Consider the following 15,617-nt stretch of genomic DNA (forward strand, 5'->3'; position numbering starts at 1 on the left):
TTGAGTGGTGGGTTGTGTAGACAAGATTGCCACTCCTTGGGGGGCATCAGGATCCTGGATCCAGTTGGTTGATCCAGGGACACAAAGGTTCATTTCTTTGATTTCCTTCACGGGGACTCCGAAGGGCCTCCCCAGAGCCACAGCTTCCAGAGGGATCTGACGAGGCCTCTGTGGAAAGCAACGCAGTTCAAGTTCAGTCTCTGCCTAATCCTGTTTTCCTCACTCTCTCAAGGTGAGTGAGGTCTATGGGGGTAAGCCCCCCCGCCTCCCCGTAGACCTCCTGGAATGCCTGGAACAGCTCAGCAACCTGGGCACAGGTGGCTTGAGACAACCTAGCCATTCGGGCCTGCTGCCAGAGTGAACGCCACAGGGAGGCCTGCCGGGTCTGGGGAGCATGAGCTGGTCAGGCCCCCAGTAGACCCCTTGCAGGCTGATCTCCATCTCCATGCAGAGTCTGTATCCTAGAAATCCAACCTGAGATCCTGCGGCACCGAGAAAGGGTGAGTGAAACAGAGAAAAGGTGGGATGGAGGGAAGAACAGAGGTGGGAACCACTCAGCAGGAGCAAGAAGGGGTGATGGTGGGAGACAGGCAGGAAGGAGTAGGCGTGTGATTTGATGCCTCTCCCCTCCACCTCCAAGGAAGCTGTTTCAAGAGATAGGAATTGTCAGAAAAAGCCGGAGAAGGTGGTGTTAAAGGAAAACATTGAGAATGGGGAGTGAAGACGAGGGTTTTTCGTAGCAGAAGATGGATCTTCGAAAGCCAGGAGGCAGAGGAGAGCAACGCTGTCGGTGAGATAAAGGTGAAGGGAAGCTGATATTCCCTGAAGTTAGTAATATTAAAACAGTACTGAAGAAAGAGAAAGTTGGAAAATGGTCTAGAGGGACCTTTTAGCAACATGAGAGGGCGAGGGATGAATGGAGCTCTGGACCAGGATATTCCCTCTGCAGCACCATCCCTGGGAACGTCAGACGTCTGGGGTAGTGAACCAACAAAAATAGAATATGCAATTAACAATTTCCCAGGAATCATGTTTACACACGTAAAAAAAAAGAGAAATAGGTGAAAGTAATTTCAATGATGTATTTTATTTAACACAATATATTTTAGATATGTTTTAAATAAAATATATCATTAAAATTGATGTGTCAATATACAAAATTAATAATGAGCCGTACATTTTTTTCCTTCTAAGTCTTCCAACTCTGGTGTGTATTTTACCTGTATTGCACATCTAAGTTCAGACACTAAATTTTCTTTGGAAATACCCGATCTGTACTTAGATTTCATAACATTGATGGTTGAAGAAGCTCATTTACAAACCTAAATTGCCCCATATATACCTATGCTTTCTAATAACAGAATAAAATGATCAGTCTTTAAGTTAATTAAAATGAAATGAAATAAAAAACCCCGCTCTTCAGTTGCATGGAGCACCTCTCCAGTGTTCAGTGGCCCCACATGTGGCTAGTGGCTACTAGATCGGACCACACAGGTCTAGAATTGGAATTCTGAGACTTTTGGATTTTGGCTTTTATTTTGTCCTGATTTTCTGTGAAGGAATGGGCTTGCCTGCCCCCAGTGCTGTACCACTAAAAAGATCCTCATCTGTTCCATCTCATTTCACAAAACTCACTTGAAGAAGACGAGGGAGAAGTCTGAGAGTCCATCTATGAATAGGGAAATGGGGCTTTGGCTTGGACTAGAAATGGTATGAAGGAGATGAGATATGAGTTGGAAGTATCCCGTTTTGATTTTTGTTCTATGTTCATAAGAGGAACGAGGTTTATTTGTCAGGTTGGGTGCCCCAAAGAGCGAACCGAGAGTGCGCTGTGATAATGCACGGGGCAACTCTTTCTTGCACAAACTCTCATCTTAGTAGTTTCCGTTGAGCTCTGGGCACTGGCTGCGTCACAAACAGGTGGACGCAGCTGCTATATCTAGGCCTCATTTTCTGCATCTGCAAACTGGGAGAGTAGTTCCTTATTTGGAAAAATAGGAGGGACCAGGGAAATCCCAGATTTGGAGACGGGTGCCTCTCAGCCAGGCCTGTAGCTCATCTGCTGTCCCTAGCTGGGTGCCAGCAGCTTCTGCATTCAGTCCACAGTCTGGTACCATTTGCCTGCCTTTATATCTGATGGGAGAGATCTGTCATGGGATGCAGGAGTGAGGGACGTTCTAGATACTCCTTTAGAAATGTAAAAATAATAATACTTAGGCATCCTTGCTTTTATCTGAAATGGCCTACATCTCTTGCTACTTGGAGGTTCAGGATAGATCTTGTGAGACCTCCTGCATGCCAGCACAGGGCCTGATAGCCTTACCATGCAGCAGCAGTATCTATAACCATCCCTAGAAGTGGAGTCACAGAAAATACCATGGTAATTGTGGCTTTGTTTTGAGGATGGTTACCACACACACACACACACACACACACACACACACACGTGCATGGCATGGAGGAGCCTGACCTGTTATTGTTGGCATCCCCAGGATACATGGCACATTAGCTTAGTGTTCAGGTTGTACATAAACCCTCAAGGTCAGGAGCTGTAACACTTGGATTTCTCCGTCCCCTGGGCATAAGCCTGTCTTTCAAAACAATTTCTGGCCACTGCCTAGAAGAGTTGCAAGATAACAAAATTTCCCTTGACAACCTCTACTCCTGCCTCCCTGACATCCCTGCTTGGTTAAGCTGCTGTCCTGATGTGGCCTTAATAAAAGTACTCTGTGTATAGACTCTTGACAGAGCCATTCCTGGGAAAAACAGCTCCGTTCTTGGAGACAGGAAACAATGCCCTCAGCATACAGATCAGAGACAGCTTGTCTGACTTGGCCCGCTTCCCCATCTTTAAAATGGGGAGGTCTTCCTGCCTCGGCTTACCAAAGCGCTGGGATTACACATGAGCCATGTGCCCAGGAGAGTCGCTTGAGCCCAGGAGTTCGACACCAGGCGGGGAAACACAGGGAGACCTCGTCTTTACCAAAACCAAATATATACATAAAATAAAATAAAGTAAAATACAATAAAATACAATAAAAAATGGGGAGAAACTCCTCCTAGGATTCTTTTTACAGTCTTAGAGAATGGAAACTGGCCTTGGTTTCTTCATCCATGTGAAAAATAGAGCTAAAAAGCCTCTCGTCAGCACCTTTCTCTCTTCTAGCAGGACTGAGGAATGACCAGAGGTTAAATGTTGATGAGCTGAATTAGCTTCAGTTCAATCTGCATTTGACTAGGAACTTGATGACTGAGGCTGCTCATTTTTGCAACAATACCTGGGGTAGAGAAATGACTGTAGAATTGAACCTCACAATCTCAGGTGTAATTCCCATGAGAAAGATATTACACCAGAAATAGGAGGTTTCCAGCTGTTCTCAGGCATGCTTTCAATGACACTAAGAACATCAGTTGCACTAATTGGTGCTTGAAATAATTATTGATCTTCATCAGGAGTGTCAAAAGCATTGCTCAAATGTCCAACTGCTTGTCATGCTCTCTTGGCATTCTACGCGAAGGACTTCACAGACTGTTTCTTTCCCAGGAGAGCATTAGCTAAGGCAAAACATAGAAAAACACATCTAGGATACAGATAACATAAGTACAGACAGCTGAGCAAATATATAAATAACACCCGAAATGACACTTAAATATTTACAGCTGGAGATTTCTGCTACGTGCAGCACATACTGCTAATCCTCTCTCATCTCCAGGAAGTTTTCAAAAACCTGCTTCTGTAACTAGTGGACAGGTCTTCTGGATCCAAGGTCACCTGCTGGGGAGAAAGAGAAGCCTTTGGATAAACATCACAAGTTTTCCTGGAACATGGATTTTATTTAAGATTTTTTGGAAAGAAGGGAATAAGGTTTTTACCTTTGTAATGTTTTTACAAATATTTTCAAAAGTGTAACATGTATATGTGCTCATTTTAGAAAATTTGATCAGTATAAAATATTAAAGAAGAAAGTAAAAGCTCATTTGGAATCTTATCTGTTGGAAGGAATCACTGTCTTGCTATATGTTGGTGAATATCCTTTTGATGATGTGTATGTGTGTCAGTGTGTGTTTGTAACTTGAATTTTTAAAGTTTGAGAATATATTCTAGTCGTCTTTTTATGTCAATGGATATAAGAATATATTACATCATTTTTGATGCAATATTTTGATATACCATGATTTGTTTAATCAATCCCCTATTAATGAATATTTAGGATGGTTTTAATTTTTAAAATATTTTACAATGTGGTTATGAAACATTCTTTCATATATATACTTGCCTACTTATTCAACTATTTCTTCAGGATACATTCAGAAACGGAGCCACAGAAAATATTTCTTTTGGTGGATGGACGCAAACACACACATACATATGTATAGGTGCATATGTACATACATTCACACATACATGCTACATACGTGTGTGCGTGTGTGTATATATACATAGAGGGAGAAAGAGAGAGAGGAGAGTCAGAAAATATATTTTAAACTTAAATATAGCCATTATCTCTTGAGAAGGGACTTGTATTGGGGATGTATTCAAAGAGGAATTTGACCACATTTGTAATGTTTAAGTTTTTTCACAAGTAGAAAATATATGTGTAACTTAAAGTTAGTCAAAATTAAAGGTAACACTAACAGAAAAGGACAAACTAAAATAGTTATCAACCAACAGTCACATATCATTGGAAATTATTTGCTTTCTTCTGCTGAAAAAAAGGTAACTATTAAAAGAATACAAATAGGATATATCAACGTTAAACTGCCAAAAGAAAAGAAAAGGAACCAGAACGCCGAAAGTCTTGATTAATCCAGCAAAAGTAAGGAGTGGAAAAAAAGAAAAGAAACAACAAGAAAGCACAGCAAATAAAAAGTACAAGGATATGAAAAAGTAAGTCCAAATATACCAATATTTAGAATTAATACGATTTGGTTAATATTTCCATTAAAAGATAGCAAGTCTCTAGGTAACAAAACAAAATGCAGTTATATGTTCTTCAAAAGGACACGTACAAAAAGAAAGTGATGGAAAGTTGCAAAACAAATTAATGAAAAATATATACACATTAACCCAGGAAATGCTAGCACCAAGAAAAAGTTGTGCCAATATTAATAGGAAATAAAATGCATTCAAAGCCAAAAAGAATTGATAGTCAAAGAAGACATTTTTTGTTTTGTTCTTGTCCATTCATGAACCTTTGTGTACAGCTTCAAAATGTATAAAGAAAAATGATAGCGCAAGTAGATAAAAAATAACCAAGGATTTACAGGTGCACTGTTGAATGTAGTAGCCACTAGCCACGTAGTACAGCCAATGGTCACTAGGTTATTGACCATTCAGAGATGGCTAGTCCAAATTGAAATGTGCTCTAAGTGTTAAACATACACTGGATTTCCAAGACTTGGTATGAAAAAATAAAGTCAAATAGCTCATTAATATTTTAAAATATTGATTACATGTTGAAAATATCATGTTTTAGATGAGTTAAATCTACTAAAATTAATCTTACCAGTTTCTTTTTACTTAAGGTGGATGCCAGAAAATTTTAAATAACACGTGGTTCTCATTATATTTTTATTGGACAGCACTGAAGAAGATTTAAATTAATACAAATAAAAATACGGACCAATAATTACATAAAAGAAACATTTTGACTTATCAGAGATTTTATGTTCTTTTCAATAATGCAACACTTATAAATTCATCAATTACCTGACCATAGGAAGAGCTCAAAAATGTTTAAAAACTAGCTATTGCAGAGGCTGTGATACCTAACTACAAAGCTTTTCCAGGACTCAAACGGAAATCCCTGTTGCCTATACCAGTTACTGTTGCTCTTCCCAGTGATTGTGGGGAAGTGCTTGTACAGGTGGGGTCTGTGTGTAGCATGACCCTGATGATGGGGACTATATCCTTCTTGGGAGCCCACGTCACCTGAGGTCCTACTCTGCCTGTTGGCCCCACCTCACAGGATTTGTTGAGTCAGAGCTCTCCTTTCAGAGAGCAGTGACAACAGCTTTAGCCTGGGAGGCTATCTACAAATTGCTCTGTGTTTATGGAGGTCTGGGAGGGGATAGACCTGACTGGCCCAGTGGTTCTGAACTATTCACCTGATAACACTGACGTCCCAGGCTCTTTCTTCCACATGGATTTTATCACTCATTACTTGGGGTGCTCTAGAGCTATTCTTGCCTTGTGTAGTTCATCCTACTTATTTTGGCTTGAGGGTTTTTTGTTTTTTACTTCTCTGTGTGTTTTTTTTTTAAATCAATTCAAACCTATTTCTAAAAAAAAAATCATCCTTAATATTTCTAGTCCACAGGTAGAATCCTTCCTTAATTTCCAGCAACAATATAACTCTATTTCTTTTTCAACAATTAATTTCTATTATTTGATGGGACTTTCAGTAGGTGGGGGTATGAAAGCTAGTATGCTATCTGACCCCTTGATCCATGATGAAATGTAAATTTTTGTATATTTATCTCAGAACCAGTCACCTTACTAATGATACTTTTCATACCAAAATAAACACTGATATATCATTAAGAAGAATGCATGCAAAATATGCAAGCATTTTTCAATGACATAGGAACTGAAACAAATTGGACAGTTGTGGAGGGCTGATATACTGCAGCTCCCTCTTGTTATTAGGGAAAGGTTGAGAGGACAACACTTTGGAAGTTCAGCTTCAAAAAGGATATCTTTACTGCCTTGAGTTGGCCTCTCACTCTCTCTCTCTGTCTGTCTTCCTTTTTCATCCAAATAAATCAATTCAATTCCAATAAAATGCTCTAATAAGGCCTCTTGGTTGCCCTCAACTATAGACAAGGCTGTTTGTGTGTGTGTCACACAAGGGCCTGCACTCAGATGGGCCCAGCCCTCATTTAATGCTCTGCTGTTGGTGTCTTGAAATTTTTAATTGCTTTTGACTAAGAGGCCCACATTTCCATTTTGTACTGGGTCACACAAACTAGGTAGCTGATCCTGAATACAGGCTTCTACTCAGCAGAACTTGGTCCTTGGTATTTCTGCCAAATACCTAGCTAGTGTAATGCATTTTCAACCCAAGCTAAAAGATTAAGGCTTGTGGCATTTTGCTGAGCCCAAAGAGGGCTCCATTACGTGTATCTTAGGAAAATTCTTACCCTTTCTTCTGGGTTGGTGGTGGTGGTGGTGGTGGTGGTGGTGGTGGTTTGAATCTGGGGGAAGGAATATAACCAGAGCCACATCGCTAAGATTCTTTTGTGAGCTGGCTTCACCTCACCTCGTGACACTCTGTTACTGATGGTTTCCTCTCCAGTCCGTATCAGGGCTTGCAGTGCAGTACACGAAACTTGTCCTTTCTTCCACACATCTGCCCAGTTGGTTCCCGTTGCTTGACATAATGCCCTTTCTCACCCTGGCTACTTGGTGAACTCCTACTCAATCGTCAAAATTTGCTTTAGTTATCACCTCCTTTAGGTGATAACTTGGCCTCCCTGGACTCTCTGGGTGGAGCTAAGTGACTTGTTCTTATTGATGTGACATCTCCAAGAATAACTTAATCATGGAGCAGAAATTATTTTTTGTATAAGTTGTATTATTGTATAAACCTCTTTTTCACTAGAACCACTAGACGGATGGTTCCCAACCTTTTTTTTTGTTTACTGATTTTTTTTTTTTGGGTGCACACATCAAGGCATGAAAATGCTAAAGCATATTAAACAAGTCAGGAGTCATCACAGTGCAATCACTGCTGCAGTATCACTGGGTCTCACAGCAACTATGAAAGCATCCACTGTGTCCATACTATCACTTGGTCTCCGTTTAATGCTGATTTTTCTGTTCTGAGTTTACGGTCTAGTATATCTCACATGCTACATTTTCTTATGTTGCAGTAAACACCAAGTTGGCTGGATTTTACATTTCTCACCTCATCTCATAGGCAGCTTACCCGGTTCTTCACTGTCATGTGACTCTTTGGGTCTGTGCTCCATTTGACAGACATTACTAACATCTATATCCCATTAGAACAAAAATATACATTAGACATTTATTGAAGTTTGGCAGCCCACCGTAATCACCAGAGTCAGCTGCATAGATTGCAGGCTACACCAGGGTACTCAGCTGAAAGGGCAAAGGGGACCGATGATCCGTTATAATGTGCACCAGGCTTTGTGTTCCCCAGATGGCATCTTCCCAGAAGGGGGGCCCTTTCCTAATTTGTACAAAAGTATCATCTGGACTAATGGTGGATGCTCTGACTGGGCGCATCCAGGGTCAGCTGGGAACTGCTGGAGACCAAGGGCTGGATTCTAGTCGTCTTTTCTTTCCTAGCACTTGCATAGTGCTAGAGAGTAACAGACTTAATAAATGTAGAATAAATATAAAATTATCAAGACACTCTGCTGTTGGTGCGCAGCATGACTTGGGCCTAGTCTGTAACATTGTTAACATGAGTTTCCCAATCTCATCTGCTGCTGGTGCAGATTTAAGTGGTTCTTAAATGTGGTGTTGGGTACAGTGGTGTGACATGGTAAAACTATAGCTGGCCCCCAACTCCCAACCTCCAGCCCCCAAGAATCATTCATAGCCCTGGATTCTTCACATCTGTGCTGAAGTCCAAAAATTTCCCTGGGAATACGTCAAGCTCTCAATCATCCTTCATCAAGTGAACTGCTGTTGAAAGATAGGGTGGGGTCTGCTGCCCTGACAGGCTTTCTTCTTTTCAAACTGGAACCCCTGTAGTCTCTCTCCCCACTCCCTTTCTTGCATAGCACAGATGTGAAGACCACACCTGTAGAAATTAGTACTCACTGAGAATTCAAAAATCCTAGAACTGGGTGATAGCTTAGAGGTCACCTTGTCTAATCTCATTACAATCAGGAGACTGAGAGTTGGGGAGGGAAGTATTGTCACAGGGTTGGTGTTGTCAGAACAGCATCTGGAGCCCAGGTTAAGACCGCCTCTCTCCTGCGCTCATGTGTGTGCCTTATTTTTTCCTTTCGTTCAGGTCTGAAGCAGTTTCCCTTCCCATCTGCCCCCTGAGCTGCTGATATGATTTGGCTCTGTGTCTCCACCCAAATCTCATCTTGAATTGTAGCTCCCACAATTCCCATGTGTTATGGGAGGGACCCAGTGGGAGGTAATTGAATCATGGGGACAGTTCTTTCCCACGCTGTTCTCATGATAGTGAATAAGTCTCATGAGATCTGATGGTTTTATAAAGGGGAGTTTCCCTGCACAAGTTCTCTTCTCTTGTCTGCCACCATGTGAGACGTGACTTTCACTTTCTGCCATGATTGTGAGGCCTCCAGAGCCATGTGGAACTGTGAGTCCATGAAACCTCTTTCTTTTGTAAATTGCCCAGTCCAGTGCAGCACCCAGAGGCCAAAGCCACATGCTTTCTTCAGTCACAGAGTTCCCGCCACGCCCCTCATTATGTCTCCAGCATTTGTTTCTGAAGCCTTGGGAGAGAGAGATGGGGCCAGACACAGGCTTTGCAAAGATGCCTTCTTGGAAGCTTGGTATGGGGTCTGACCCTGCCCCAGGCTCAGAGCCTACGGTTGGTCCTGAGGGTTAGGGGTTTTCTGTCATGCCCTCTGTCTCTCTGCTCCCAGGCTGGCCTGGGGGCCTGCCTGCCTGCTGTGGGACCCTCCAAGGATGTCTGGGCAGCAGAGTCAATCTCTGGGGACACATGTGGGGACTCCAAAGACTGTGTGCTTTGTTCTCCATGATAGATAGATACATGAGACTTCTGGAGAGAGGAGGCAGTGCCCAAGGTCACAACAGGACTGTGAGCCTGGACAAGGGTCAGACCAAGTTTTCGTGCTGCTCTTTGTCTGGGACTCAGGGCCGCCCTGGCTCTTGTCTCACTGTGATTGCACATACTGGATGCCAGGCTTATCTGCTTGCATTCAGGGTCACAGACAGTAGGGCTGAGCTTGGAGGGTGTGGGTGGGGAGGGAGGTATACCGAGGTAAGACAGTGAGTCCCTGGGCAAGTATTTGTCAGAGCAATAGGAGAAGAGAGTGAGGTGGGGGAGAAGTGGAAGAATGCAAATAGCTATTGTGGTCCTTGGCCACTTTAGAGACTTCATCAGGAAGGCCTACCCTGACCCTCATGCTCTAAATGAGACCCCCCCTCATTATTTTCTCTGTTCTTTTTTATTATAGTACATATTACAATGTTTGACTACTTCTTTGTATGTTTGTTCTTGTTTATATCTGTCCTGGCCACTAGACCATATAGTCATAAAGGCAGGAAAGACGCTGGCTTTCCCTTTGCCCAGGACCCAGCAGCGCCTGGCATATAGCAGGTGCTCAACAAATATGTGATAAGAAAATGCAGTGATGGGTTGATAGGTGCAGCAAACCACCATGGCACACATTTACCTATATAACAAACCAGCACATTCTGCACATGTATCCCAGAATGTAAAATAAAATAAAATGAAATAAAGAAAATGAAGGAAGTTTTTTTTAACTTTCCTGATTCAGTTTGGGCAATGATATAAACCAAAATACCACTGACCATTGAATAGCTGCAACTTATCTGTGAGTACTCACCATTAGGTGCAAGTTTAAACCCAAATATAAATTATATAAATGATAGAATATATTTTCTAATGGACATGAGTTAATTAAAAGTACAAGATTATTTTAGATTTTATTATTTCTCGTATTTACTTCATGGCGTAACCAATGATCAAGTCTTGGACATAATGATTTGTAATCTGTCTTACTTTGTGTAGAAAATAATGTTAAAGGGGTTTCTGTTTTGTTCCTTTGATATGAGTACATAGGGGTTGTAAGTATTTTTGAGCATCATAAGGGAACAAAAAAACCCTGACTCACTATGCACAGCCTCAGAGGGTGCTGTTCCTACTGCAGTTTATGTGCAAGGCACTCCTGCAGTTGGGCAGTGCACATCCTGCACAACCTTGCAGGAGCAGCCTTGTGAAAACCTAGGCTTGAGCAGTGCACATCCTGCACAGCCTTTCAGGAGCAGCCTCGTGAAAACCCAGGCTTGACAACTCATCTCTCTGCCTTTACTCTTGCCCTTCTTCTGTTCTTTTCACAGCATTTAGAATGATCTTTTCAAAGCTACAGTGAGAGCGTGGCACTTGTCACCTTAAAACCCTCCAGTGACTTTGTACTGAGAACAAAGTCAAAACCCCTCTCCTGGCCCACAGGACCCGGCAGGACCTGCCTTTTGCCTGCATTTCCTACCTGTTGCTTACCTTCCTTCTCTCCCTTGCTCACTGAACTCAGGTCCCACTATCCTTGTTTTCCTTCCTCATTTAGCCAAGCTCATACCTGACTCAGGGGCTTGCCCCTGCGTGCCCTTGGCCTGGACCAGTCTTCCTACCTGGCTTCTGACCTTCCACCGATCTTCACTGGCTGTTTTCTTCTCATCCTTTCAGGTCTCAGCTTCAATGTCACCCCTAGGACAGCGCTTTCCTGACCCCAATTCTAAAGTGCACTCCTCAGTCACCCTCCATGACATCTGTCTGTCTATTCCCTCCTCAGAACTCATTCCTATCTACTATGTCCTTGTTTCTCTGTATTTATGTACTTGTTATCTTCCTCTCCACTAGGCTATAAACCCCACAAAAGCCGAGATGTTATCTTGGTTGTTCTTTGCTGCACTTCCAGTGCTGAGAACAGTGCCCACAGTAAGTGTGCCAGAAATACTCGTTACATGAATGAGTGAAAATCCACAAGGGGACTTGGTCGTGGTGGCTCCCGATCTGGCTTGCTTATAGATTGGGATCTAGAAAACCAACAGGAGCCTGCTGTGCTGGAAAGAGCAGTGGCCCAGAAGTCTGCGTGCCTTTTCTTGCAGTGGCCTCTCTCTCTCGGGGTCTCCTGAGATTGGGGGTCTCTGAGTCAGGGGCCAGGAATCTTTGTGCCCTTCAACTACACAGTGAGGGCCTGCTTTTTCCTGAGGGCCAGAGGTTTTGGGTAGCCGTGATGACAACACCTCCACTTTCCATCGTCACAATGACTTTTCTATGGGATCCTGATGTTGGGGGAGATGCCTGACTCTTTTAGTCTGAAACTGAAAGTTAAACAGAAAGCAATACTTTTGGAGGCAAGGAGACATACTGGGAAGGGGACTGGCACCAGAACAACCTGGGCTGGGGACTCAGCCCCTCACTTACCAACCAGATGACCTTAAATATTTTCCTTATTTCTCTGAGATGTAGTTTTGGCAAATAGGAATGCTCACCCCTGCTCACATATTTGCAGTGAGGAGTACAGGAGTGGACATACCTGCAGCTGAAAGATGTCAGCTCCCCTCCCAATGCCTGAGCAAGCTCCAGCGTGCCCTCAGGAAAAGCCCTAAGTCCAGGTCACAGATCCCAGCCTGCAGGTGATTCCCATGGAGGCCATCAGGGGCTACAGGTGAGAGGTGGGCTTAGCTTGGTGGAGGGAAACCAAAAACAAGTCACTTGTGAGGAAAGCAAAACAGTTTGTTTATTTATTTTGCGCCAGAATCTTCGGTGCGTGACCCTACGGAAATGGCTCTGCAGAATTGGAAAGGATGGAAGCGTGTTTATCAACTTTCCTGGGTAAACTTCATTTGCATTCCTAGAGTTTTCGTGGTAGTTTTCCAAGAGACGAAGTGGTCTGTGGGCCGGCTTACCTCCTCCCCAAAACAAATCACTTGCACTTTTGCTTGCGTGTGGAGGTAGAGACTACTCTTTGTTGAGCTCTGCCATGAGCCAGAGATGGTGCCGAGTATTTTAAATACTATGTTAGACACAATACAGGGGCTTGCTCAGCAGCAAGCCTTGCCTCATGATTGCAACATAGTTGCTGCACCCTCCAGCATCACAACCACATTACAGGCAGGATGAGGAGGTAAGTAGGAAGGAGACAAAGACTTTTCTCTTCTTGAAACTTTGCCTTTTTAGTTCGGAAGAGGTGCCTTCTCTAAAAACTGTCACTTACATATTACTGGGTAGAACCATGTTACGTGGCCACCTCCAGAGTGCTGGGAAGTTGAGTGTTTAGACTTCCAGGCTCTCTAAAAGAGGACGTTGAGAACAGCAGGGGAATATTACATGAGATATGGGTCAAACGAATACATTAGAACATTATGGGTTTTTAGTGTGTGGTTTAAAGAATTCCTTGAAATGCCTAAGCAGCACATTAGGAAGGGAACTGCTCCTTTGGGAGTGACTCATGTAAAATGGGCCCGGTGCAGAAGCCAGGGTGTGCAGGGTAGAGCAGCTCTTTAAGGCGCCAGGCGGAGAGGCGGAGGCTTGGCTTAATGTAGGACCATGCGTGCTGGCGTTTCTCCTAGGACCTGGACTAAGGGAATTGGGGGTGGAGGGTGTGGTGGGGGCTTTGTGCCATCTCCTCTTCCCCCATCAGATGCAGGAGCAAAGTGGAAAAGTCCTCTGGGGATTTTCTTCTCTGATACAAGGGAAGCACACGCAAATGATCTTTTCCTGAGAAAACCCATTGAGAGCAGTTTCCCACACGCCCTGACACTCAAGTTCCAACCCAGTCCAGGCTGCTGGCTGGAGAAACGACCTTTAAAACTCTTGTTTATGTACAGCCACAACTTCAGCCCAACTCCAGCCTGGCCTGGCATGGAAAACCAGGAAGTTTCTGTAAGAAATATTTTTAAGGGTCTGTGTACCTCACAGGAAGCCTTCAGATTGCAAACATGTGTCCAAACTGCTGACTTGGAGTAAATGGATCAACTTACTCAGTCTGAATTGGAGAGCCTGATTTCTGCACCAGGGAGGCTTGCTGTTTGAATGTGTGCCAGGTTGAATGGAGTCTCTGGCTTCAGATGGATTCAAGCTGAAAGAGGTTTCTTCTGTAAGTCAGCTTGTATGGTAATTTCTTTCCTTTCTTCTTCCTGCAAGTGAAATAGTGCAATTTATCTTGACCCCGTGTGGGCTGTTGGCTTTTTTCCTCTTTGTCATCTGCAGAGCCTGCTCACGTCTCTGTTTCTAAGTTCATAACATGCTGCTCTGGGCTTTGCGGCTCCACAGTCTTGTTGACTGTACACTGGTGCTTTTGTTTCAATTAAACTTTTAATTTTGAGATAACTGTGGTTTCATTTGCAGGTGTAAGAAATAATTCAGAGAGATTCTGCTTACCCTTTACCCAGTTTTCCCTCACCTTGCAAGACTATAGCACAATATTGTAACCTGGAAATTGACCTTGAAGTAATCAAGATACAGAACATTCCATCAGAGGATCCCTCTGTTGCCCTTCATAGCCACGCCCACTTCCCTCCCACCTCCCTAAAAGAGGAGACTCCTTCTTTTATCTTTGGCAACCACTAATTCATTCTCTATTTCTGTAATTTTGTCATTTCAAGATAGCTACATAAATGGAATCATATAGTATGTAACCTTCTGGGATTGACTTTTTTGGTTTCACTCAGCATAATTCTCTGGAGATTCATCCAAGTTTTGCCTGTTATCAATAGTTCCTTTTGTTTAACTGTTGAGTGGTATTCCATCTTGCAGATGTACTATAGTTTGTTTAACCATTCACTCACTGAAGAGCATAAGGACTGTCTCCAGTTTTTGACTTTTAGGAATAAAGGTGCTATGAACAGTCGTGTACAGGTATTTGGGTGAACATGAGTTTTCATTTCTCTGGAATAAATGCCCAGGAGTGTAATTGTGGGGTCATATGGTTGTTGCATGTGTGGTTTTTTGAGGAACCACCAAACTGTTTTCCAGAGTGGCCGTACCATTTTACATTTTCACCAGCAATTTATGAGAGGCCCGGTTTCTCTGCGTCCTCACCTGCATTTGCTGGCCCTACCTTTTATTTTAGCCATTCTGTTAAGTGTGTAAGATAGCTTAACAGCTTAAATTTGCATTTTCCTAATCGCTAGTGATGTTGAATGTCTTTTCACCTTCTTATTTGCCATCTGTACGTCCTCTTTGGTGAAACGTTGGTTCATATCTTTTGCCCGTTTTCTAATTTTTTTAATGTTGAGTTTTAAGAGTTCTTATGTATTATAAATACTAGTTCTTCGTCAGATATGTGGTTTACAAATATTTTCTCCTTGTTTGTGGGTTATTTTTTTCATCCTTTTAACAGGATTTCTCACAGAACAAAAGTCTTAAATTTTAATGAAGTCCAGTTTATCAATTTTTCCTTTTATGAAACATGCTTTTGGTGTCAAATCTAAGATCTCTTGGCCTAACCCTAGATCATGAAAATTTTCTCCTGTGCCTTTTCTAAAAGTGTTATAGTTGTATATAACTCCATGATACATTTTGAGTTAATTTTTATATACCATGTAGGACTTAGGGGAAGGGAGCTTTTTTCTCTTGTAGGAATCCAATTGCTCCAGTACCATTTGATGAAAAGGTTCTCATTCCTCCATTGAATTACTTTTGTAGCTTTTCCAAAAAATCACTTATGCGTATTTGTGCAAGTCTATTTCTGGGCTCTCTATTCTGTTCCAGTGAGCTATGTGTCTATCCTTCCACCAGTACCATCTAGTCTTGGTAAGTGTAGCTGTATATTTTGATATAATAAGTCTTAAAATTGAGTAGACTAATTCCTCCCACTTTATTCTTCTATTTCAAAATTGTTTTAGCTATTCTAGTTCCTTTGCCTTTCCATATACATTTTAAAATAAGCTTGTC

At 42.5% G+C, this 15,617-nt stretch overlaps 1 protein-coding gene and 1 long non-coding RNA gene across 2 annotated transcripts in view; both read left to right on the plus strand.

Moving 5' to 3' along the window:
* Positions 1-483: 483 nt before the first annotated feature.
* Positions 484-3,977, plus strand: LINC02417 (long intergenic non-protein coding RNA 2417). The gene is made up of 3 exons (NR_146865.1): positions 484-500; positions 641-801; positions 3,661-3,977. It is a non-coding gene; the product is annotated as a long intergenic non-protein coding RNA 2417 (long non-coding RNA).
* A 9,747-nt stretch (positions 3,978-13,724) lies between these two features.
* Positions 13,725-15,617, plus strand: part of PRMT8 (protein arginine methyltransferase 8) — a 212,625-nt gene continuing 210,732 nt past the window's right edge. The window contains exon 1 of the mRNA NM_001256536.1: positions 13,725-13,818. Coding sequence (NP_001243465.1) covers positions 13,771-13,818 — 48 coding nt within the window. The 5' untranslated portion in view covers positions 13,725-13,770. The remainder of the gene's footprint in view (positions 13,819-15,617) is intronic.

Source organism: Homo sapiens, chromosome 12 (assembly GCF_000001405.40).
Source record: "Homo sapiens chromosome 12, GRCh38.p14 Primary Assembly".
Lineage (NCBI taxonomy): Eukaryota > Metazoa > Chordata > Mammalia > Primates > Hominidae > Homo > Homo sapiens.